This window comes from Homo sapiens, chromosome 9, assembly GCF_000001405.40.
Source record: "Homo sapiens chromosome 9, GRCh38.p14 Primary Assembly".
Classification (NCBI taxonomy): Eukaryota; Metazoa; Chordata; class Mammalia; order Primates; family Hominidae; genus Homo; species Homo sapiens.
The window spans coordinates 16,672,983-16,697,196 of NC_000009.12; the positions used below are offsets into that span (position 1 = coordinate 16,672,983).

Consider the following 24,214-nt stretch of genomic DNA (forward strand, 5'->3'; position numbering starts at 1 on the left):
AGTAAATAATGACGCTGACAATTTTCCTACGAGCTGGAATCCCTGTTTAGTTTTGGGGGGGTTTTTTATTTTGTTTTGTCTTAGTGTATCTGTTTTCTGCTCTTTAGGTGACAGGAGTGCATTCTCATATAAAAGATAATGAATGATGCTTGCATGTATTAGACATAGACTTATATGACTATAATTACAAACAAAATTCCTCTGCATATCAAAGGGAGAAAAACCTTTGTTTATTCAAGAAATTCCTAATGGTTTCATTTATAAGTAAAACTTTCTCTTTATTTGAGACCCAGTAGCATAGCACAGTATAGCTGGAAGACAGCAGGTAGCTCTTATAATAAACTTTGCACAGTTTTGAGGAAATAACATCTGAAAGCACTTCATTCTTCTAGGGTGAGTAGATGAATGATTCAAAAAGAATAAACTCCCAGGGAACATTCTGAGATTTAAAAAAAAAAAAAACACACACACACACACACACATACAACTGAGAGGTGGAGGCATTCTTGCTAATTAAAATTTCCAGTTCTTATGGTCTTCTATATACACAAGTCCCAGTCAAGAAAGATCTGCAGGATCAGGCCTGTACCGAGAAAAAGTATACCATCATCACATCACATTAATTGTATTATTACTTCACAAGGCTAACCAGCCAGGTTTATACAGAATAGATTAAATAACAAGATAATCTCATAAACAATGATCATTTCATCAGTGTACCAAATAAGTTTGATTTATATCTTTGACTGTTCTAATTAATTTCTGCATCCACATGCTTTAATTTACACAGCCAGACACCTACACTGCAGTAGGGACAGCCATTTTTTTAATGTGTTGAACTCTGAGACGGGTTCATGTTTAGTCTCCCCAGCGTTGCTGTTTTAGTTCCCCTACACTTAAAAAATGAAGTGACTGTTATAATACCTTGCACTAAAATTGAAGCATGCAGAAAGAAAATATTTTATCAAACTCAATACCTATCTCTCTTGCCAACATTTTACATTTAATTTTAGTTGTTATAGCTTTACTCAAACGTACAACTAGAACTGTTCATTCCAAAGTTCTGAACCTGCCTTTTCGGACTAATATTCCACTCAAAGCCTTTTAGATATATAAGTTCATCTCATTACAGCATCAATTTCATATCCTCATCTTTGTTTTAGTGCAGTTCCCAGAGGCTTAGGGGACAGCTAATTTTAAAAACATATGATTTCTAATCACAGTGAGGGTCTGGATAAAATTTTTAAACTGTCCTCTAGAATGCTGGTTTACAACAGCAAGTACTACCATTGAATAGTTAGAAATAAAGAAATTCCAGAGATGGAGGAAAATTAATCTCATCCCAATTTCCTAGCCAGAAAGACAAAAACATCCCTGAATCCAGACCCACTTACAATACACCATCAGTGACATCATATTAATGTCAGCACTCTTTTAAAACCCCTAAAAAAAATAACAATCTAAAGGAGTATCCTGGTGTCATGATTATTTTAGTTTAGTCATTTTACAACTCGCATGGATAGTCTCAGTGTAGGGAAGAAGATGTGTGTTTACTTATTTAATCAGGCAAGCAAAAAGGTTTTTACTTGTCTTTGATATCAAACTTTTATTTATGGATCTAATCGATGTTTATTTGTAGGACTTTAAGACAATAACAGATATCAGCTATATCATCTGTTTTTGATTATAAACTCCTAGAGGGCAACGACCCTATCTATTCAGCTCACTTCTTATAAGATGTAAACATAGTACCATACCCAAGAAGGCACTTAAAGATGGTTTATATAACATTGATTTCAAGGGGACTTGGTCTGCGTATATGCTCCTTGAAGCTCTCCACTGGCACTCAATGAACAGTAGAGATTTACACTTTTATGTTCTTGGGCAATTCCACTGTTCAGTTGTCTATAATGGCAGTTTTGAAACAGATTATTAGATGGGAATATTTCCGATTCTTAAAGTTTAAGAATCGGCATTTGAGCAACACCCAAATTCTAAACTAACTGACACTAGAAAAGTAGAAGGGAAAAAATAAAAGCAAGACCCAAATATTCCATTTCTTAGCATCAAGCTAGCACATTTCACACACAGTGCAGGAAGATCTGCTATTTTCACAGGGAAACCTGCCAAGACAACTACTACAATGCCTAAAAATGTAGCCTCCTTGCATTCTTCTTCACCTTTCCCTCACCTTTCCTGAGGTCTAACTGATATTTACATCCTTTATTTAAGTCCACTTGGATTATACAAAACAAGGACTAAATTGAGTTAATTTTTTTTTTTTTAAGTCTCACTGTGTCACCCAGGCTGGAGTTCAGTGGTGCTGTCGTAATGTGATATCGACTCACCACAACCTCTGCCTCCGGGCTCAAGTGATGCTCCCGCCTCAGCCTTCAGAATAGCTGGGACTACAAGCACATGTCACCACACCCAGCTAATTTTTGTATTTTTATTTTTAGTAGAACCAGCCTTTTGCCATGTTGCCCACACTGGTCTTGAACTCCTGGGCTCAAGTGATAGGCCCACCTCGCCCACCTTCCAAAATGCTGGGATTAAAGGCATGAGCCACTGTGCCTGGCCTAATTTTCGAAGAAAAGAAAAAATTTAGAATACTGCTATATAATACTTGTTAAACTCTAAAGGAATAAAACCTAGTAAATTGTATCTTAAAGACTCTGACACATCAGCAATGAAGAATGTGTTACTAACTACGTGATTTTGGTTAAGTCTTAAAAGTTCTCTACCTTAGTTTCCAAATCTGTAAAGATATTAGGTTACATAACTTAAGTAATTTCCAGCTTTGGCCGGGCTCGGTGGCTCACAAGGGAAGCCGAGGCAGATCGATCACTTGAGGTCAGGAGTTTGAGACCAGCCTGGCCAACATGGTGAATCTCAGCTACCCATGTGAAATTTTGTATTTTAAAATACAAAAATTAGCTGGGTGTGGTGGTGCACGCCTGTAATCCCAGCTACTCAGGAGGCTGAGGCAGGAGAATCTCTTGAACCCGGGAGGCAGAGATTGCAGTGAGCCAAGATTTCACCACTGCGCTCCAGCCTGGGTGACAAAGCGAGACTCTGTCTCAATCAATCAATCAATTCCAGCTTTTAATTTCGAAAACATGAAAAAATACTGATCCTAAAGAATTGAAAACACAAATTGAGATTCCATTATCTACTCAAACAAAAGAATTTTTCTTTTTCTTTTGTGTACATGTAGGAGGGAATGTGTGCTCTTAAATTATTAATTATGACTAACTCCAACAAAATATTTGAACAGAACATCACTAGCTATTCTTATATAAAAATATGGATATATACATATATATGACATGTGTGTATGTACATACAAAATCCATGCATAGGCACACACCCAAACACAAACGCGTAATTCTATTTAAGCCAAGAATTAAAACATTTTGTTTTTCTCTATGTTTTCCTTCTTCTATGAAGCTGCTATGGCTTAGGAACATACATAAACATAAGCATCTTATTTAATACTTCTTACATTAATACTGGCAGTTGCCAACATGAACAGTGTATGTTAAGTTGGTTGTCCAAAATCTAGGTAACATTCTCTCACAGAAATATTGGTATTGAGAGAGAATGCAGAAATGTAGTTAAGTTCTCAGGCCATTCAACCAAAGTTTACTTAATCCACAATGTATCTGACATATAGAACCTGAGACACAGGAATTCACAAATTTAATGCTGCCTAAGCAGATGCTAAGTTAACCGCAGCAGCGGAATAAAGAAGGTCTCGAAAATATGTAGGGGCATCCAGTTCACACCACACCCAAGTGAGAACAAGGGAGGAGAAAAAAAAAGCAAGTTCATGAACTGTTTTTTTCCCTGTAAATATTCACTAACACACTTCTGAAAGAAAGCACAAGTCACTGTTGAAGATATTATCATTTTCTTATTTGTTTTGAGAAACAGATGTATTACAGAAGGCGAATTAAGAAAGATAAAAAGAAAAACATAGTTATCTTGTTCCAAAATTTTCTGTGTTCTTTAGATTCCTTATTTTAGGGAAAAATTATAAAACTGTTTTTAGGTAAATAATATTTAATTTTTCAAGATATGTGAAAATTTCAGAAAAAAATTCTGTCTAATTTTTATGTGCTTGGCCACCACAAGCTAGTAAAAGTAATTTACACAGTAACAACAATGCATTCACTATTAGCCAAAAGCTAATACACAGGCACAATCTCCTTCAATCTGTCCGACAGTGTCAAGAGATAGGCTGAAGAACTCATCTTTCTATACTATCCATCAATTAAAATAAAATTTAAAGATAAAAACACACATGGCCAGGCATGGTGCCTCACACCTGTAATCCCAGCACTTTGGGTGGCTGAGGCTGGCAGATTACTTGAGATCAAGAGTTCGAGACCAGCCCAGCCAACATGGTGAAACTCCATCTCTACTAAACATACAAAAATTAACTGGACATGGTGGTGAATGCCCGTAGTCCCAGCTACTCGGGAGGCTGAGGCAGGAGAATTGCTTGGACCTCGGAGGTGGAGGTTGCAGTGAGCCAAGATCGCGCCACTGCACTCCAGCCCGGGGGACAAAGCTAGACTTTGTCTCAAACAAACACACACACACACACACACACACACACAGTAGCAATATCCTGACTACTGGTCATTCTATTCAACTTCAAACACGTCTCAAGTTAGGGGAAACACAAGTGTTTCAACCTGAATGTCTTCCTCCTGTGTCCGGAGTTAAGAAGGGAGAGGGTAACCCAGAGCTGCAAACTTCTAGCTGGCTTTCACTAATAACAATTTCATTCTGGTCCAGGGAAGAGGATAACTCAATGAGTATTCTGCATTCCTTTTAAAAAGCTTAATCAAGGTTCAATTGCTTTCTTTCAAAAAATTCGCCAATGGTCACACAACTTTATGTAAAAATGTAACCTAAATTTTATAATTTTACAAACTAAGTAATTATAGATATAAATCTTTTAACTAGTAGCAGGAAAACCAACATTATAAATGAAAATGGAATTGCAGTTCACTTTCTGTGACGGTAGAGGATGAGAATCAATTGTAACAAAAATGAGAGGATGCAAAATAAAAAGAGAGAATAATGGAAAGGAAAAGAGAAAATGGAGAGAGAGGAGGAAGAAAAAAGGCAGCAGGTGACAGTGAATAAGAAAGGCAGTAAGGTAAGGGAGGGACGAAGGGGTGAAGGGAGATAAAATATTTTTAGCAAAACAACTCTTGTCCAAATTTGCCGAAGTTCCAGACCATAACTTGTAACTGTTTTCTTTCTTTTTCTTTTTTTTTTTTTTTTTTTTTTTTTTTTTGAGACAGAGTCTTGCTCTGTCGCCCAGGCTGGAGTGCAGTGGTGCAATCTCGGCTCACTGCAGCCTCTGCCTCCCAATTCTCGTGCCTCAGCCTCCAAATAGCTGGGATTACAGGCACACGCCACCATGCCCAGCTAATTTTCTGTATTTTTTTATTAGAGACAGGGTTTCACCATGTTGCCCAGGCTGCTCTTGAGCTCCTGACTCAGGCAATCCGCCCACCTCCCAAAGTGCTGGGATTACAGGCGTGAGCCACCGCGCCTGGCCATGTATCTGTTTTCTGACAGAGGTATTACCTACCTCTCCAGTAATTTTTTTAAAATTCTTTCTGTACCTAAACAGTAACAGTCTCTTTTTTTTTTTTTTCAAATTTCCATGATTGTTTTTACATAAAAGTTCAACTTTGAAAGCTTCACTTGTGTGTAAAGGAATGGCTTTTATTTTACAAATATACTTTGGAACCTACACACCATTGATCCATTTAGTGCACAAAAACTCAGAGTTGTCCTGACATTCCAAACCCAACAGTTTTTCCTTTGTAAAGAAACTGGAGATGTCTCCTTCGGTAGTGCCTGAAAATTACAATCGAAATCAGTGTTCACTGATTGTGCAAAGCCTTATAAATATGTTCCCTTGCTTGAGGAGTAACCTTCTATCGCCCAAGATAGTTGTTTTTAATAGCAAGAAAACAACATGGATGGGCCCAAAGTGTCAGAGGCTCTCACAGGAACATTCGTATCTGGTCATCAGAGAGAAACTGTCCTCCAAGCTGCACTATGTACACAGAGCGAGGGCACCTAATATTGCAATCACAGCCAGACTCTATAGAAAGCTACACTGTGCCTCAATTCAGCCTGGCAAAACACCTCCCACCCACCTCACTGCACCTTTACCTGGTGGCTTGCTTCTTTCTGCCCATCCACCTACACATCCTCTCTACCTACCCATAAACCACTGGTCCTTACTATACTCCATACCGTAGGAATGTTTTATAATATAAAAATTCATTAAATAATATACCACTTTTGATACAGTGATCCTACAAACTGTAACTCTGTGAAATGGTTCAACACGATGTCATCGCTATACAGCAACTTGTTTCATTTACAGTATCTGTTTCACTTCTACTCATGAGCTAATATAATTCAATTTCTTTTAACTGCACACAGGCTGCTAGACACATGTGCATGGCAAATGGAATCTGAACTTAGCTTAACAGCCTCATTTATTCCTGATGGTTTAAATTATTTCATCACAATTAATGACACCCCCTCAGCTTCCTGTGCAGCGCTGCCAGATGTTCAGAGACCACAAAGCCACTCTCTTCTTTGACGGCTGGTGACAAGTTGTCCTCTGAAGGACGTTCCCTAGATGCGCGGGCCGGATGACACCTCCATTGCTTAGCACCTCTCTGCCTCCCAGAGTAACCATGGAGAGGAAAAGGCAGGAAGGCGTGAGAAACCAGCAAATGCATTAGCAAGGGCACATTATGTGAAGTGATCTAAACTCGGAGGAACTTGGCTCCTGCCAGAGGAGTTCCTAACCTTGTTGTTTTATAAAAGGGCTCTTTGCCTCCACCTTCCACCACTGGTATCCACTGAGTGCCTACCATGGCGTCAGTCCTCAGGGAAAGTCAGAACAATAATCATACAAACTTTTCCACAGGGATCTGTTTGGTTCTTAGTAATTTTGTTTCGCATAGGGGGAGTGTTATTTAAACTTAACCCCTCCATCATGATCTTCATCTTCTTTTTAAGGGTAAACAGTTTGAAATCACTGTCCTCATGTTCAACTGTGATTATGTTCTATCCTATTCAGTGAAAACTTTCAATAGAAACATACAACATTTTGGCAACTTGTGGTAAATGGTTTTCCGCCATTTACTTAGGTTTAGGAGGATTTAATCTTTTCAGGGGCTTTTGTTGTTGTTGTTGTTGTTAGCTTTGTCGTTTTCTTAATTTTTTAAAGAAAATATTGAAAAACAGGCTTCACACTTTTTCTATGTTGATTCTGATGTGGGTATAATCACTTACCTCCTTTAATAACAAAAAATTTTTCCTCAGTACGGGAATTCAGAAATAATAATTATACTCCTCATTTAAATTTCATATAAAAATATAAATTCACATAATCACAGGTAGCTAAGAAGGTAGCAGAAATAGTAAACACACTAATACTTTTACAATAAGAATCCAATTCCACAAGTCTAATTTGGCAAACATTTCCATAAACTAGAGAACATGTGGCAGACATTTTATGGATTATTTTTTAAATGTTTAAAAAAAAAAAAACGTTGATCTTATTCAGGGAATAAGGGGCCTTTCCATTTGCCAAAAAGTGTAAAAGGAAAACAGACAGGCCACCTGTGTCAGCCCACCCTATGGTATGAACATGAGCTATAAGGGCATTTTGGAAAATATTTTCAAACTGAGATGAGAAAAAAAAAAAATCAGTATCAATACAGATTCCAAGCAGATGCAAAAGGCTTCTGTGCATGTTAGTGATTACGTGTGTGGCCTACACAGGCTAACTTCAGATTCCTCTGAAACTCAGTGTACTTTCTCTTTTTTAAGCTACTTGTGATTAAAACTAGAGCCTCATCCATATCAATTTCGACAATGGACACAAACACAGAGTAAACCAATCAAACCAAATAAGTTGAATTTTCTCCCTCTTAGATGGCTTTTTAAATTCTAAATGACTACTGAATTTTACCAGACACTCCACACTTAATATTTTGACAGCTGTTGATTAAAATTACTTTACTGGGAAGTCCTGTGAAACCAACAGTCTAGTTTTTATCAGAATTGAGGCACTCAAAGGGAAGCTGAGATGGTGGCATACTTGCAGCAAGCAGACAATAGGAAACTCTTAGCACTCCCAGAGTTACGTCAAATTTTCCATGGACCGAAACTAAAATGAAATACTTCAATTACTGAGAGGTAGATAAGTAAAATAAACAATTAATTTCATACGGTGAAGTCAGGAGAGAGTCATATGGACCTCATTCTGTTGTCTCCAAACATTTTATCGGAGGGGAAAAAGGAGCTGAATAAACTTTAAACTCTCATGTAGGGATGTATTGCTTGTGTGTCCCTGGCAGATGTGGAAAGGAGATGAAATGGGCAAGGGAGAATCAAATATCCCATCGCTGCAGGTTTGCTGAGGGAAAGAGCACTGCAAAGATCTCACATCTGGCAATCATTTGTCAATAGCTGGAAAGAGAACTGCAGGAAACTTTCTGGCTCTTGGAGAAGATGAAAAGACAAAAACCATGTGTCACACACACAAACTCACACACACACTCACTCACTCTGCAATGGTACAATGACTACTACACTTATTCTCTACCCCTCCCTTCCCCCACTAAATTTAATGATCTTCAGATATACTCTACTCCATGGTCAAAAACATGCAGTCACTTGACTTGTTAAAGCTGCAGTGTATGTACATTTTTCAAATAAACCGCAGGGCTGATGTTAGAAAATCAAAATCAGTCAAGCATAGACCGCCTGGTACTTTGGGCAGGAATCCTTGCGGTTTAGTCAATAAACAGAATCTGAATGAAAGACACCACAGTAACTAGACAGTAACGTTTTGAACAGATCTTAACCTGAAAGAGGGGGTTGGGGGACCGGTGCGCTGGTGACCAAGGATGTAAGGCTACTGGTCCACTTAGACTGCTCTACCGGCAACACCACTTTGTTTAGCACAAGGTCATCTATTTGGAACAGAAAAAAAAAAGAGAGAGTGAACTTTTATTTGGGGGGATGTTGTGGATGTATCTGTGAAGGAAACAACCTTTTTTTAAAAATAAGTTATACCCATTTAATAAGGTGGTAAGGAGAACTTCAGATTTTGTTTAGTTCATACTGTTGTTAAAAAATATAGAGAATTTGCTGGCTTCATTGTGAGTTCATAAACATGACCAGCTTTGCCCCAGTAGGTTTATCATGTAATAAAAAGTTTCAAGACACCCTATACAAAATTAATTAACTTCTCCAACATCATAGGAATTTAAATCCGTTCATAGTGATCGACAGACTTCGATGAGCAGCTTTTGGTTCACCCTTATGCTGCATTTAACTAGCAGCAGCAGCCGAGCTCATCTCCGTGATTCCAGAAGTGAATGCTGCAGGTTGTTTAATAACCTGGCAAATTCACAGTAGCTTGTCAAATTATTACAGGAACAGTGTCATCACTAAACAAGCCTGATCACGGTTAATTACAATGCAGACCAGAGAGCAGCCACAGTTGTTCATTAATTACAGGAAGCACCTCATTTAACTTTTATGGAAATTTACACTTGCACCCCAGTATGTCTGGAAAAAAAAGTGATCCTCCACGCATTCACATAAGAAAGGAGCCTGTGGTTTATAAAACATCACAGCAAATTGTGTCTAATCTAGTACTGAAATATTGGTTCATTATTTACTCTAATTTTTTAAGCACTTCAGTGGTGAAAAATACCAAGTCAAACCTCACATCCTGAATTCCCAACCAAGAAAAGAACTGTGCTGAGCTAAATGTAACAACTTAATACATGATGAGGCACAACTGAACTAACAAAGTAACTTTTCTCTGATAAAAGTAAAATATCAGCAATTAAGGAGAGTCTAAATTAGAATAACCATTTCTTAGAAGATGATTGCATAAGAGTGGGATTCTTTGCTGCTGTTCATCAGTTAACCTCCCAAACTGGAGTACCCACTTCAAAAGCCACTGGGGAAAGTAAATAAAGTTACAGAATCAAAATCTTGATTTCCAGTTATTTTTCTGAATCAAGCAATATTAACACAAACCACAGCAGAAGTCCTTGCAAAAGTCAAATCAGGCACAGACTTGAAGGTTGACAGTCATTCAAAACCAAAGATACATTCATTGACCACAGTAGGGGATCTTGGGATTATTAAAAATAAAGCTGCTAAGAAATCTGAAATTTTAGGAATAAAAGGCAAAGGTTTAAAAGGAAGAAGGCAAAGAGCAGAAAGGGGCTCCACCAGTCATGAGAACTTACGTCAGCTAAAACATAAAAGTAAACCAGATTTCAGGGCTGTATGTCTAAACAAAAATCCTTTCTAAGAAAGAATATAAACAAACCGCTGCTCCTAAATTGAGGTGTACGGAAGGTTATTCTCAGAATCAAGAGGCCAAACAGCAAAACCTCTAGTGATGATAATGCCTAGCCCTGGGGCAAAGCCTATGATACAAGCAGGAAAAGGAGATGACTGGCAAGTCCTATAGTGAGCTCCCTAGAGTATAAAGCTATGCTGAACAATAAGAAATGGCTCATTCTCTAGGAAAAAATTTAAAAAGGACTAGGACACATGACATGGCAAGAATGAAAGCAGTCTAAGCTAAAAAATACTCCTGAAATAGATAGCTGGTGAAAAGTATATTAAGCATCTTTATTATGGTGGACATAATATGTATATGTACTAGGTATTTCTAAAATGTGCAGAAGAAGCACATTTAGGAAGGCAGAAGAAAAAGAAGAGAGGAAGAAATGCTTCAAGTGGGTCCCAGCTACTTGACTAACTCTCCATAGCTGATCATCTTTTAACAGATTCAATCCTTCCACGCAGTCCACCAAAATGATGATCCACAATGAGGAATATCCAATAATGTCACTTTCATTACTTTGTCCAGGAACTTAGTCTTCTTTGCAAGGTCCTTTCTGAACTATCAACCCCACAATCTGGTTCATCTACAACCAGAATGTTACTTTAACCTGTAAATATAACATTTTCTACATTTTCTCCCATAGTATGTCAATGTACTCAATAGGTTTTTTTTTCCAGTTTTATTTTACACACTCACATCTGCAAAACCCAATTTTCTTTTCACTGTAATTCAAGGTTTAAAAACAGATTTCCAACAATCACCCATGACAGACCATTCCAGGTGATGTGTTTGAAGAACATCACTCGTCCTACCCAAAAAAGGTCAAGGATCAGACTACTCTCCACAAAAAGTCTTCCATCACTCTGCATTTGCATGTCACACACAAGCTGTTAGCTTTCTAGAACTAGGAAATACATGATCGTGTCTCATGTGTCCCACCTGCTTTTCTGTTGTATCACAGACATACACCACCCAGACAGTACCAGTTTGGGGCACAGCAGAGCTCAGGTGGTCTTCCCTGGGCCAAGAGCAGGTGTGCTAGAGATGGCATACCCTTCGGTACCATAAAAACTGAAACCTCCTCCTACCACCACTTCTACCCTCATTCTCACTGCATAGAAGTCCATTTTTTAAATGGTTCTCTCTTCTCATTTGTGGTTCTAAATCAGTAAAAACGTTTTAAAACTGAGCTCACTATGCTCATCTTATAAGCCTGAAAATTTAGAAAATAAGGCCAAATGGAGGTCCTAAAAAAAAAAGTATGAGTTTCCTCATGCTAGGGAGTGCTACCCATGTTGAAACTTCAGCCTGCATCTTTGCATTGGCACACACATTCCTTAAATATTATTATGTACATAGAAATGGAGGCATGCCTTTAGCCAAAATGTCACATTTACATTTTTAATTTGCAATACACCAAATCACTTCTAATGCCTCAAGACCATACAAAACGAACTGAATTTCAATCCAACAGTTTCACCAAAAAAAAAAAAAATGTACTTTGCTAATATACTCCTATTACACCACAAGACATATCTTCCAACGCATGAAGACAGAAGATATTTCATTAAGTCCTGCTTTTCTTATAAAGCACTCAGTTGAATGGCTGCTGTTCTCCTGAGCCGGGAGACCATATTGTAGGAAGCATGACTTACTCACATATATCCCAAAAGTCTTAGAAGATGAAAGCTAATATTTACTGGGTACCTGTTATGTGCCAGGTCCTGCACTAACTGCTGAATATATGTCAGGTCCTTTAAATTCTCATCATCACCTTGTGTGGTAAATCTCCATCTTACAGATGAGAAAACTAAGGTTCACTTAAATTAAGTGACTTGCCAAAGGTCTCACAGCAACTTGTATCAACTCTAGGTAGTCAACCTTCAGAGACCATGTACTTACTACAGTATGTATATATGTCTTGACTGAACAGACAAATGATCTACAGTTACAGACAACGCATCCTGAAAAGGACCTATGGCTGCACATACGCTACACTGGTTCCTCTTTACACCTAACTCAATGGTTGTCTTTTCCTGATGACGCTGATATACCCAAATGGCTTTCCAGGACCACTGTTTCTGTCACACCACCCCTAGCTGAGAAAACAGTTAAGACTCTAACCTGGACTTCCAGCCTGTGGTATGGCTCCTCCAGGTTTGGGCAGAAGTCTGCCCCCAGCACTCTGCCAGTACATGCCAATGGAACCTGAGGGAATACAGCCACGTTAGATGCTGTGTATGGAGGCTGCTGAGAACTGCACACAGTCACACTTGACCCAGGCAGAGAGAGGAAATCCCAACTGCGGGTCTCTAACAGGTCATCATGGCTTGACATGTATGTGACACTTAGTATGTCAAATATATAGTGAATACCATGTAACAAAGTTTATTAACTACCAGAAGGTAAATTCCAAGAAGAAAAAAGCAACATAAATTTTGTTCCTCCTTGTATTCACAGCAGGTAGCACACAGTAGGCACCTAATAAATAGCCACGGACAGGAGGAGGGAGACAGAAGGAAGGAAATGCAGGGATGGGAAAAGACTAAAATAGATAATTTCTGTTTCACATTGGTGACATAAATTTTTTCTTTTCCTCTTTCCTTTAATTTTCTTATGTAGGAATTTAAAAAAAAATACATTCAACAATGCCTAAGTTCCTTTACGTTCTTAAAATATTTGTTCAAATTTATTTTTCCTGTTCCTGGTGTAGGCTAGCACAGGCAGACTTCTATTTATCAATATTTATTATTAATAGTTACTCATTTAAACATGTTATCTTTAAGCTTAAAAACCTTGTTTTATGTATCTGTCCTAATAATAAAAAAACAAGGTTAAAACTTAATGAATGTTTCTCTATATCTAAAATTCTAAACTGAAAGCCACTAAGATCCCTTTTTAAAACTAAGCTATTATAATTAGTCAATATCATCCCTAAATACTGCCTACTGTCCCTTGCTTATTTCATTTCAGATTTTTTTAAGATTAAACAAGGTTTTAGATTCCACCTAAACATGTTTTCTGCTTTTTAAAAATTTCTAATTGTTCCTCATTATTTCCATACTTATACTACTCACACTAATCATATATCTGTCTATATGTCTCTAAACTCAATACATCAACTAAGCATCATCTCACCTTTGTCTTCTTTCCCTATCAAAGCACTCCTCTGTTTTGTTTTCTTTGACTTTTTTAAAACTCCAATTAAGATCATCTGTGCTAATCAATTTGCTTTGTTCAGACATCAGTTTTCAGCCATGCATGCTAGCTTAAAAGGTGCTTCCCTCTTTCTTTTCACCCAAAAATCAGTACAATCGTCCAAACTTAAACAACGTTCAGTATACTCCACTTTGCAAGTTCACTAGTGAATATCACTGGAAAGAAAAGAAAAATAAAAGGTACTCGGTCAACGCTTCAAACATTTTTAGGTCCAGTTCTCTCATTCTTTTCAAGTCTTTTATTCTTCTTTACTAGGCTCATAAGGTGAAATGGACAGAGTGTCATCTGTCTTTGAAGTTTACAACCACTCTTTACCCAAGAGTTTCACACGTGCAGGCCAATGCGCGAGTCACTATGTGGGGAATCTTACGTGTAGATTAACCCTCATTTTCCTCTCAACACTCTTACGGAGTATGAGCATCTCCAGTCTACAAACGAAAAAACTGAGGCTTAGAGTAGGTAAATAACTAGCTCAGAGTCACATGTTATTAGGTTGTAAAACCTGGATTCAAACTTAAGACATGAGAAAGAAAAGAAAGGTTGAGAATACATTTCCAAGAATTTAATTTTAAAAAAAAATGTAATAACTACATTTAGTGGCATCCATTCTAGAGGTATTTGTTGATGTTTCATATGAAAGAAATTACAAAGAAGACAACAAAGGAAAAAGGCGCTAACCGAAATCAAGACCTGCTACCTGCTCCTTGGTCTAGGACAACATAAGTAACAAAAAAGGGAATTTATCCTCTTAACTGAGGAATAAGAAAGAAATGCAGCAGGGAGAAGAGCGGGGGCACTGTGCATTTGTGTTGTGTCACACATAGAAATAATGCTCATTCTACCCCTCAGCTGACATATGGAAGGCCACTAATGAGTTCTGCAACAGTAATTCTCCCCAGGGAGCAATAGAAGGGAAAAGAAAAAAATTAACCTGAGAATATTCCAAATCAAAATGAATCCCCCCAAAACCTTATTATAAAACCTCAATAAATGGGACTTAACTAAGGCAGATTCAGTAAGCCATATATTGCAAATTAAGTGTAAACCTCACCCGATCTCACATACACAAAACAAATTGCTACTTACCTTAAGATTATTTGACCACGTCACAAACACTAAGTTTCTAGTTCTTTTTATCTTCACAGTCACAGAATGCACTTTATAAACATTCTCAAGAGGGAAGGAGAAAGTTAAACAACTAAAATTACATGCAATTACAACTTGAGACACTTAGAAATACACTGTTTCTAAGAGAAAACATAAAGGTCTGTGAGTAAGTTGGGAGGAAATGGTGGCAAACTACCAGTATGTTTCAACAATCATAATCACAAAAAGGAACTAGTAGGGAAGTGGGTACATTTTCAAACTTAGAGTGCTAGGATTTCTGAGCAGAAAAATATATCCATAAGAATCTTTGAAAGTTGACTCCCATATTCTAAAAAATGAGGGATAAGAGATTCAAATCAAAATTGGTTCACAAAGTTCACTGAACGGTTCATGGTCTAAAAATACACCACACTCTCACCCCATCCACCACAATCAGCGTCATCAGTTAGGGAAATCTTTCAACACGGAAAGGCAAACCATATCTCTTTCTGAATTCATCAAAATGTACTAAGGAAGATACAAAAGAGATAAAAGCTGATAACCTAATTAGTTGTAATTTAGCACATCTCATTCCACCTTTTGATTTAGAAGCCTCAGAAGTTAGCCAGCCACAAGCAATCAAAAAATGATTGAAGAAAAATCAGATATCAATTGTCTAACCCCTTATTATTAGTCTATTGTAAATTAGGATAATAAAATATGGGGTGTGCCTAACCATTATTTAATATAAATTTTAAACTGATTTGGGGAATTCCGTTTTATCCACTTTTCCTCTGTGCTAACACCTAGTGCCTGTTTTAATGACATACTTGACATACTATATAGTACAAAGTTCTACAAAGATTTTCCAAAATGTTCACAGTGATTAAGATTATAGGTACTTAACTTTTATTCTTTTTGTATGATTGTATATGTTGCTTTAAAAGTAATAAAATCATTTAACTTAAAAACAAAAAAAAATGGTGAACTGTTCAGCTAATATTTCTAAACATTATGCCACAGGTTTAATTATGGAATAACTGCCTACAACTGATGTAAATTTCATTATCTTAGTACTGTAACAGGAGGTCAGAGGCCTTGAAAGGGACCCTCTGAAATCCCCAGGGCAAGTGGAGGCTGAGTACATATCTACTCTCCTGTATATACATACCTTGAAGGAATCATGGTGTGTGAGAGAGCTATTTACAACTTACTTTGTGTATAATCAGCAGAAACAAAAGATATGACAAGTATAAAGGCCTCTCTCTCTCCCCTCAGGAGAATTCAACAAGGGAGGGCCAGTGGGCATTCACTTCGGTGTCAAAAGGGCTTCCAGAAAACATATTTTCTGTGGGGCAGGGAGGAAATATGGCAGGCTTCCTACACACATAACCACACACACACACACATACACACACTCTTTGTTTACTGAGATCACAAAAAAAAAAAAAAAAAAAAAAAATGTTAGGGACCAGACTTCTGAAAAGAAGACATAAAAAGCTCCAGGTTGTAAATGGGAGCTACCGTTGAAAATATTTGAAGATGAATGGCTGTGAAAAATGGGTGGCAGAAAGGGGACAAAGGAAAAAAGAGAAAAGTCACAGAAATGATAACTTGAGAGAAGAGTCATGTTACGATGAAAAGGGCTCGTAGTCAGGGATGCCCCCTGCAGAGCCAGGGTCCACTTGAAATTTCCATTTTACTTTTAAATATTAAACACGCAGGTAGGCATCTGCCTGATAGACACTATGAAAGTCACAGCCTAAATAAACAAACTAACTTCCATGTGAGCTCCAGTCTCCTCAGTCAAGCTGGCCCCAAGCCCAGATCAGTTCTGAAGTGTATGTGTTTTGGTGGCTTCAGTCTGGCAGTGTTGAAGGGACAAAGACCTTGGAAAAGAATGATATACAATGTAAGTTTAAAAAAAAAAAAAGAGGGAGAGAGATAAACAGAAATAAAGCCCCATCAGAGTGCTCCTCAGAGACATGGCTAGGTACAAGCACTGCCGGATTCCAAGCCAAAAGGAAGACCCAATAGCACTCCAGCCTAATTTCAGTGGTTATACAATGCCAAGCGGCAAGAGGAAAAATCACTCAGATAACACAAAGAGTTCAGGAAGACCATCAAGTGAAATAGATTTGACAATAAGCTCACCAGGAGTCCCTGTGAGAAAGAGCAGATAAAGAAATAAACAAATTATCCAACACTGTAAAGATGAAGATGCACGCTAAACACACTGCTGCAAAATAAATGAATACAAAAGCAGAAACACAGGAAGGTGAGCTACGTGGCAGAGTATGCAGTTAAATTATATCTCCATTTTTCAGCCTACAATTTAACTAGGAGACAAAATTCTGGGCCTAAACTTTCTCTACCATGGGACCCCAGACTAAGACTCAGAAGGACCAAGAATATAGAACCTAAGGGCGAAGAAGGAACCCACTGCTCACTGATCAGAAAGCAACTGGTAAATCAAAACAGAGTCAAATTGGATGTGGTGGATCACACATGTAATCCTAGCACTTAGGGAGGTCAAGGCAGGAGACCAGGAGTTCTAGACCAGCCTGGGCAACACAGAGAGAAAAGTAATAATGAAAGAAAAATTAGCTGGGTGTGGTGACATGTGCCTGTAATCCTAGGAGGATTACTTAAGCCCAAGAGTTCAAAGTTAAAAGGAGCCGTGAGTGTGCCACTGCACTCCAGGCTGGGTGACAGAGTGAAACCCTGTCTCAAATATATACATACATACATACATACATACTAACGACACAGTATTTATTATCCAGCCTGAGTGACAGAGTGAAACCCTGTTTCAAATAAATAAATACAACACAGTACTTATCCATTTTCAAGGATGGAATGACCAGAAATACATTCATTGTTATAGAGTCAGATAAGGCAGAGTTGTATCAATAGGAACATGATAAGGATGGGAGATATTTTATAGGAGAAGAACTGGATAGGACAGATGCCAGTGCCTGAAGGAGACACAGATCTCCTCTGGAGTCATCTCAGAGCAATGAACTATAGGATCAGCATAAGATAAAAGAAAATGGAAAAGAGTCAATCAGTATGTGATTCTGTTATGCAACAGGTTGAAAGACACAGAAGGTGACGGAGGTGGGGGGATGCCAGGGTGCGGGGTGGAGCAGGCACAATGTCCTCACAGCCACCAGGAGCTATTTCACTAAGGTTCACTCTTGCTCTTCCCTCAGGAGCTGATCCTCTGGGGTGAGCTGCCAAAGAACAGTGCCCTGGGCTCTGTGATAGGAGCAACCTCTGCAGGTACAATTACAGGAGATTTTTCACAGCCACAAACAACAACAGAAATACCTTGTTTTTATACTGTGAAATATGGGATAAAAGGTAAAAATCTCTCTTCCCTGGTGACACCCTGAGGAGCCTAATGGACCACGAATAATGCTAAAATTACATAGAATCTTTCTTCCAGAGTGCTCAAAGGGCTTTACACGTAATATTTATTAATTCCCACATCAGACAAGTAAGGAAGGGGAGAAATTTCCATTGTACTCCTTTTACTTCTAAATGAGAAAACTGAGACCTATCACTATGGTCTCCCTCTACATTTGATAAAAATGGATAGAAGTGAAATTAAGACAAAGTTCTCTCAATGACTTCGCTAGTGCTTTACTCGAAAAACATCCTACTATTGGACAGATTTCACGTACTTCCTGCAATTCTTGCTTTACCTGGGTTTTAGCATTGGAGAAAATGAGAATGAAGTCACTTGTACCAGATCCACGGATGGGTATGGGTTCTTTTTTTTTTTTTTTTTTTTTTTGAAACAGAGTCTCATTCTGTCACCCAGGCTGGAACGCAGTGGTGCGATCTTGGCTCACTGAAAGCTGTGCCTCCTGGGTTCAAGCGATTCTTCTGCCTCAGCCTCCCGAGTAGCTGGGACTACAAGCACCCACCACCACGCCCAGCTAATTTTTTGTATTTTTAATAGAGATGGGGTTTCACCACGTTAGCCAGGATGGTCTCGATCTCCTGACCTCATGATATGCCCGCCTCGGCCTCCCACAGTGCTGGGATTACAGGCATGAGCCACTGTGCCCAGCCATTTTTTTTTTTTTTTTTTAAAGATGGAGTCTCACTCTGTCACCCAGGCTGGAGTGCAGTGGCGCAATCTCAGCTCACTGCAACCTCTGCCTCCCGGGTTCAAGTGATTCTCCTGCCTCATTCTCCCGAGTAGCTGGGATTACAGGTGCCTGCCACCATGCCTGGCTAATTTTTGTACTTTTAGTAGAGATGGGGTTTCTCCATGCTGGCCAGGCTGGTCTTGAACTCCTGACCTAAAGTGATCTGCCCACCTTGGCCTCCCAAAGTGCTGGGATTACAGGCGTGAGCCACTGCACCCGGCGGGTTCTTATATTTAAGAAAAAAAGGTACAGAATTCTATTATTCTATTGGTTTGCAATCATTCTTGTAATACATTATTTTGGAAATTGAACACCACAGGTTGTTGCTTATGGGCAAATACATTGTCAACTCTGACAACTGACATTAAATGCAATTTCAAGTATGCCACACCCAGGTTAACTTACTTTCTATCCTCAACACTCAACTCCAGCTATCTTAAAGACAGGTAATACTGAAAGAGTTCTAGCTTTGCAATTAGATCTCTGTTTAAATCTCTACCGCAATATCTTGTAAAGTTGCTCAGTTACGTATCTCCGAGCCTTGTTTCCTGCACCTGTAAAATGAGGATACTTATATTTATTGTGCAGGGTTGGCAAGGTTGAATGAGATGACACATGTAAAGCACCTAAGGATTCAGTAGGTACACAGTATATCTGTAAATGGTACTCTGCCCCCAGCCCACAAAAGCAGCACCACAGCATACCAATCCAATGAAGGCTGAGAACTTTGAGACCACGATGGAAGCCGCATAGGGGAAAGGAAAGCAAGCCACAAGGGTCAAAGGAATATTATAAGCAACTGGGGAAACTAAAAAGAGACAGAGTCACTTGGTCTCACTTAGGGACCAAGGGCCAACTCAATCATCTTTTAGAAGGCTTCCTAGAGTGATGCTGTGTTTGGAATGACCGAAAAGATCGCTGTCAGCTCAGAGGGACTTAGTGTTAAAGACTTCACTGGGTGCTGGGCGTCGTGGCTCATGCCTGTAATTCCAGCACTTTGGGGGGCCAAGGTGGGTGGATTACCTGAGGTCAGGAATTCGACACTAGCCTGGCCGACATGGAGAAACTCCGTCTCTACTAAAAATACAAAAATTAGCTGGGCATGGTGGCGGGCACCTGTAATCCCAGCTACTTGGGAGGCTGAGGCAGGAGAATCGCTTGAACCTGGGAGGCAGAGGTTGCAGTGAGCCGAGATCTCACCACTGCACTCCAGCCTGGGCAACACAGTAAGACAGTCTCAAAAAAAAAAAAAAAAAAAAAAGACTTCACTGGGGGATGAGGGGGTGAGAGTGGCAAGAAGCAGCATATCTGCCCCTCCTGCAACCAACCGTTTCACAATTAAAATATAAGGTAATTTTCTGAGTTCTCTTATGCTAGCAGCCTGGCCTATAAATTATTAAAAAGTAAAGAGTTTCCAGAGAACGTGCATGAATAAAATCTGAAGAACCCAACCCTCTGGGGGTGGGCAGCACACTGACAGACAAGACCAATAGTCTCGGTCAGTGCCCAAGGCATGCTTCTTGGCCAAAGATTATTGTGATCATCACCTGAGAGCATGTCTGAAACTCATTTGCATGCCCCACCTGAGACCCACTGTGACAGAAACTGGAGGTGGAGTCCCTCACCTGTGTTTACAAGCCCTCCACGTGATGCTGATGAGCATTAAAGTTTGAGGCTCCCTAGCCCATGTAAACTAGAAAACCAAAAAGGAACCATAAGACAAAAGCTCTACAGATCATAACTTAGTTTTAGAAAAGATATAACTTAAAACAATGGAGAGAAAGAAGAAGGAGCATACACCAAGGCATAAAATTCTTATCTCCCAACATCTCACTCTGTAAAGAAAAGAAAGGAAGCCAGGAAAGGAAAAGCTTACGAGAAAAAGCCAAAATGAGCAAGCAGCTTGAGCAGTGGTAAGGCCAACTCCACATCTGCTGCAAACATTAGAAAGAAATTATGTGGGGACAGACATTAACTGTAGCATTTACATGAAAAGCACTTTAAAATGATCCAGGTCAACTTGAACTCAGCCATTGGGTTTGCTCCACTCAGCTTCTCTACCTATCTTTCCGCGGCAATCAAGAGTGAAGATGTATTTACCTCTAATGAGGAAAGAGACTGCCTTCAAGTAATCACCATCAAGCTATTGAATGCTTTATTTTGGGGGGAGGGTGTGGCATTTTTTTAGAAAAGAGTTTACTTAGGAAGAAAATACATCCGTCTGAGTTGCTCTTACTTCATCAGAGGCACAAAAATGGAACAAATTGAAAGGGTTTCCTCCCTTGCTAAACAACACCAAAGGGAAAAAGGGTGATTGAAAAACTTATGTGAAAAAAGCAGAATAGTGAATTTGAATGAAATAGGATAGAAGAATATGTTGTGGCATCAGAAAGGGAAAGAGCAAATATTAGTTCCCAAAAATTCAACTTCACAAACTACTCATTGAACCACCTACATTAAACCAATTATGATTTTAAAAAAAAGTTTCAGTAGCATACACAGTTTAAGAGACAAATACAACAGGCATTTACTACTAGAGTAAATGCACAGTGGTTGGCTAGAGATGCAAATTACTCTGGACTAGCACCTTGGCCCATTTGACATGAGTTAGACTTACTATGAAGACTGAGCCTGAAGGAAGGCCACAGATGGTACCAACAGACCAGAGGAATTCCGGCTGCTCTAAACAGGGGAGCCAGGGGAGCCTTTACCTTCTGCCAAGGCTCATAATGTAGCATGTCGAAGATCAATGAATCAACACGGTTTTCTTTGCATGCAAAGCTTGAACATAGGTAATGTTAAAAGAAGAAAGGAAATGAGAAAGCAGATTCAGTCCTGCTGTTCCATACAGGAAAAATTTTCCCAAGTCAAACATAAGTCATACTGTATACTACACAATCCCCCCTCCAAGCCTGCTGAGGACCCCAGACTAAAAAGAGAAAAATGTGCAAACGCATACAAAGTTGATTTCTAAGGGATACCCCCCCACCCCCATCCCAAATGCATGGATCTCAACTGGGGTGAGAACTAGGGGAGATGAAAAGCTGTAGTAGTCTGTATCAGACAGGTAAAAAGTGAATGTAAACCCGTCCTACCAGTAACATCTTTGTTACTAAGGTTCTCAGGAAGTGGAGAGAAGATAAAGTCAAAGGGAGTTATATTTTCCTTGGGAATCTTATGAAAATATTTTTTCCCCAAACTGAACATACTTTACCCCTGAAACCTAGTAGCTTTAGAAGCTAAGAAGAGAAGCTTAGTGGACAACAGAATGCTTTATAAATGGTAAAATACATGAGAGTTTCTTTTTTGCTTTTCTTTTGGTATTAGTTGCCTCACAAAAAGACAGAGCTACTTACGTAATTGACTTACCCAATGGTAAGTAATACTTAAAATAATACCATTTTCTTTTTCTTTATTTTTATTTTTGAGACAGGGTCTTGCTCTGTCACCCAGACTGGGATGCAGTGATGTGCATTTGTGACTCGCTGCAACCTTAAACTCCTAGACTTTCCTTTCAGTTTACTTCTGAATATCTCTAGAACATGACTCCAACTAAAGCAACCTTCTAGAAGGGGGAAAATACCCACGTGCCCTGCAATTTAGCTGAGAAGTGATTCTTTTTAGCTAAATTTTTTTCTTTTTCTTTCTTTTTTTTTTTTTTTTTTGATAAAAATGGGGGTCTTGCTAAGTTACCCAGGCTGGTCTTGAACTCCTGGCCTCAAGTGATCCTCCTGCTGCGGCCTCCCAAAGTACTGGGATTACAGGCATGAGCCACATCATGTGGCCGCATTTTCTCTCTTACACGCATTCTCGTTAAGTGACGTGAAGCTCTTCTCAAGTCTCATCTGTCACGTACCTCTGTGTGAACAGGGCTCCCAAATCCCTAATCCTTACCTCTCATGTGAATTTCAGTCCTGCATTTTCAAACTCTCACTAGATTTTTCTAAGTGTCCAGTTAACATCTCGAGCTAAACAAGCAAATAGGTTCACTGGTCTCCTTTCTTTACTACAGCTTTCCCTGGATTTTTCTATATTTTTCAATGTTATTACCATAAGCCCATTAACAAAGACTCAGAACCATACATCATTATTAAAAGGCTTCTCCTTATTTCCTGAACCCAGTCAGTTCTGATAGCCTGTCCATTCTGCCCTTTCAATCCCCTCAGCTGTCCCCCACACACTTTCCAGAATAATTCTAACAAGTACATGCTCAGACCTCTGCAATAACCCTTTAGCAATAATCCTGACTTTATCATTCCATACTTGCCAACTAGTGCTATACACCACCCCTCCAATTGTCGAACACATTCTCCTAGATCATGTTTATAGCTCCCCACCAATTACCAATTACAGTTCTTTCCAGGCCCTCTACAATCTAGCTCTAACCTGCCTTTCCAGCTTTATCTTCTCCTCCTTCTTCATGAAAAATGCTTGATAGACACTCTAATTAGAATATTTTATGTCTCTTGCATACTGATTTGGACTTTCCTAACCTGAAATAGTTCTCATGCTGCTCTTTTTGGAATACCCTCGCCTGTATTCTCCCTTTGAAAATGTCCCTATTTCCTGATGCCACTTCTTCCATGAAATTTCCTGATACCTTTGGATGAAAGGGATCTCATCGTCCCAAGTGCTCTATGTTCCTTAGGGCTCTAAGCACCACATGACCTTGAACCTTAAAAACATGTTTTTCTCTCCTTAGGATCAAGAACTAACTTATTTCTCTTTGTATTTCCCAATAGCACTTGCCATACTGCTTTACACATAGCAGATAGTCAACAAATACATACTGAATAATAAATAAATATCTTAAAATTCATAAGGGCACCAGTGACACAATGTTACAAATAGAGTGATTTTAACTATTTCATTATTCCAGCAGATCCTCAACAAATACCCGTAAGGCAAGTAGAGGCCAATAATTCCTGTTTTATAGAAACTCAAGATGCAAAAAGGTTATTATTTATGCACAGAGCATTTTTTCAAGTATAATTTAGCCTATTAAGGTTCAGTAACTAACTCAATGTCACCCTGTTGATCTGTGGTATATTTCTGCTGAAATGATTCTTCTCCTCTTATTGGACTTTCCTTTCAGCTTACTTCTGAATATCTCTAGAACATGACTCCAACTAAGCAACCTTCTAGAAAGGGGGAAATACCCATCTGCCCTGCAATATAAATTAAAGAGTGTGCCGTGCACGGTGGCTCATGCCTGTAATCCCAGCACTTTGGGAGGCTGAGGCGGGTGGATCACGAGGTCAGGATTTCGAGACCAGCCTAGCTAATATGGTGAAACCCTGTCTCTACT

At 39.0% G+C, this 24,214-nt stretch overlaps 1 protein-coding gene across 33 annotated transcripts in view; it reads right to left on the reverse strand.

Moving 5' to 3' along the window:
* BNC2 (basonuclin zinc finger protein 2) overlaps positions 1-24,214 on the reverse strand; it is a 461,168-nt gene that overhangs the window by 263,480 nt on the left and 173,474 nt on the right. For 6 of the 33 annotated variants that reach the window (XM_047423487.1, XM_047423481.1, XM_047423484.1 and 3 more), the window contains one exon: positions 12,563-12,646. The exons of the other annotated variants lie outside the window; for them this stretch is intronic. In XM_047423487.1, coding sequence (XP_047279443.1) covers positions 12,563-12,646 — 84 coding nt within the window. The remainder of the gene's footprint in view (positions 1-12,562; positions 12,647-24,214) is intronic. 33 annotated transcript variants of the gene reach the window in all.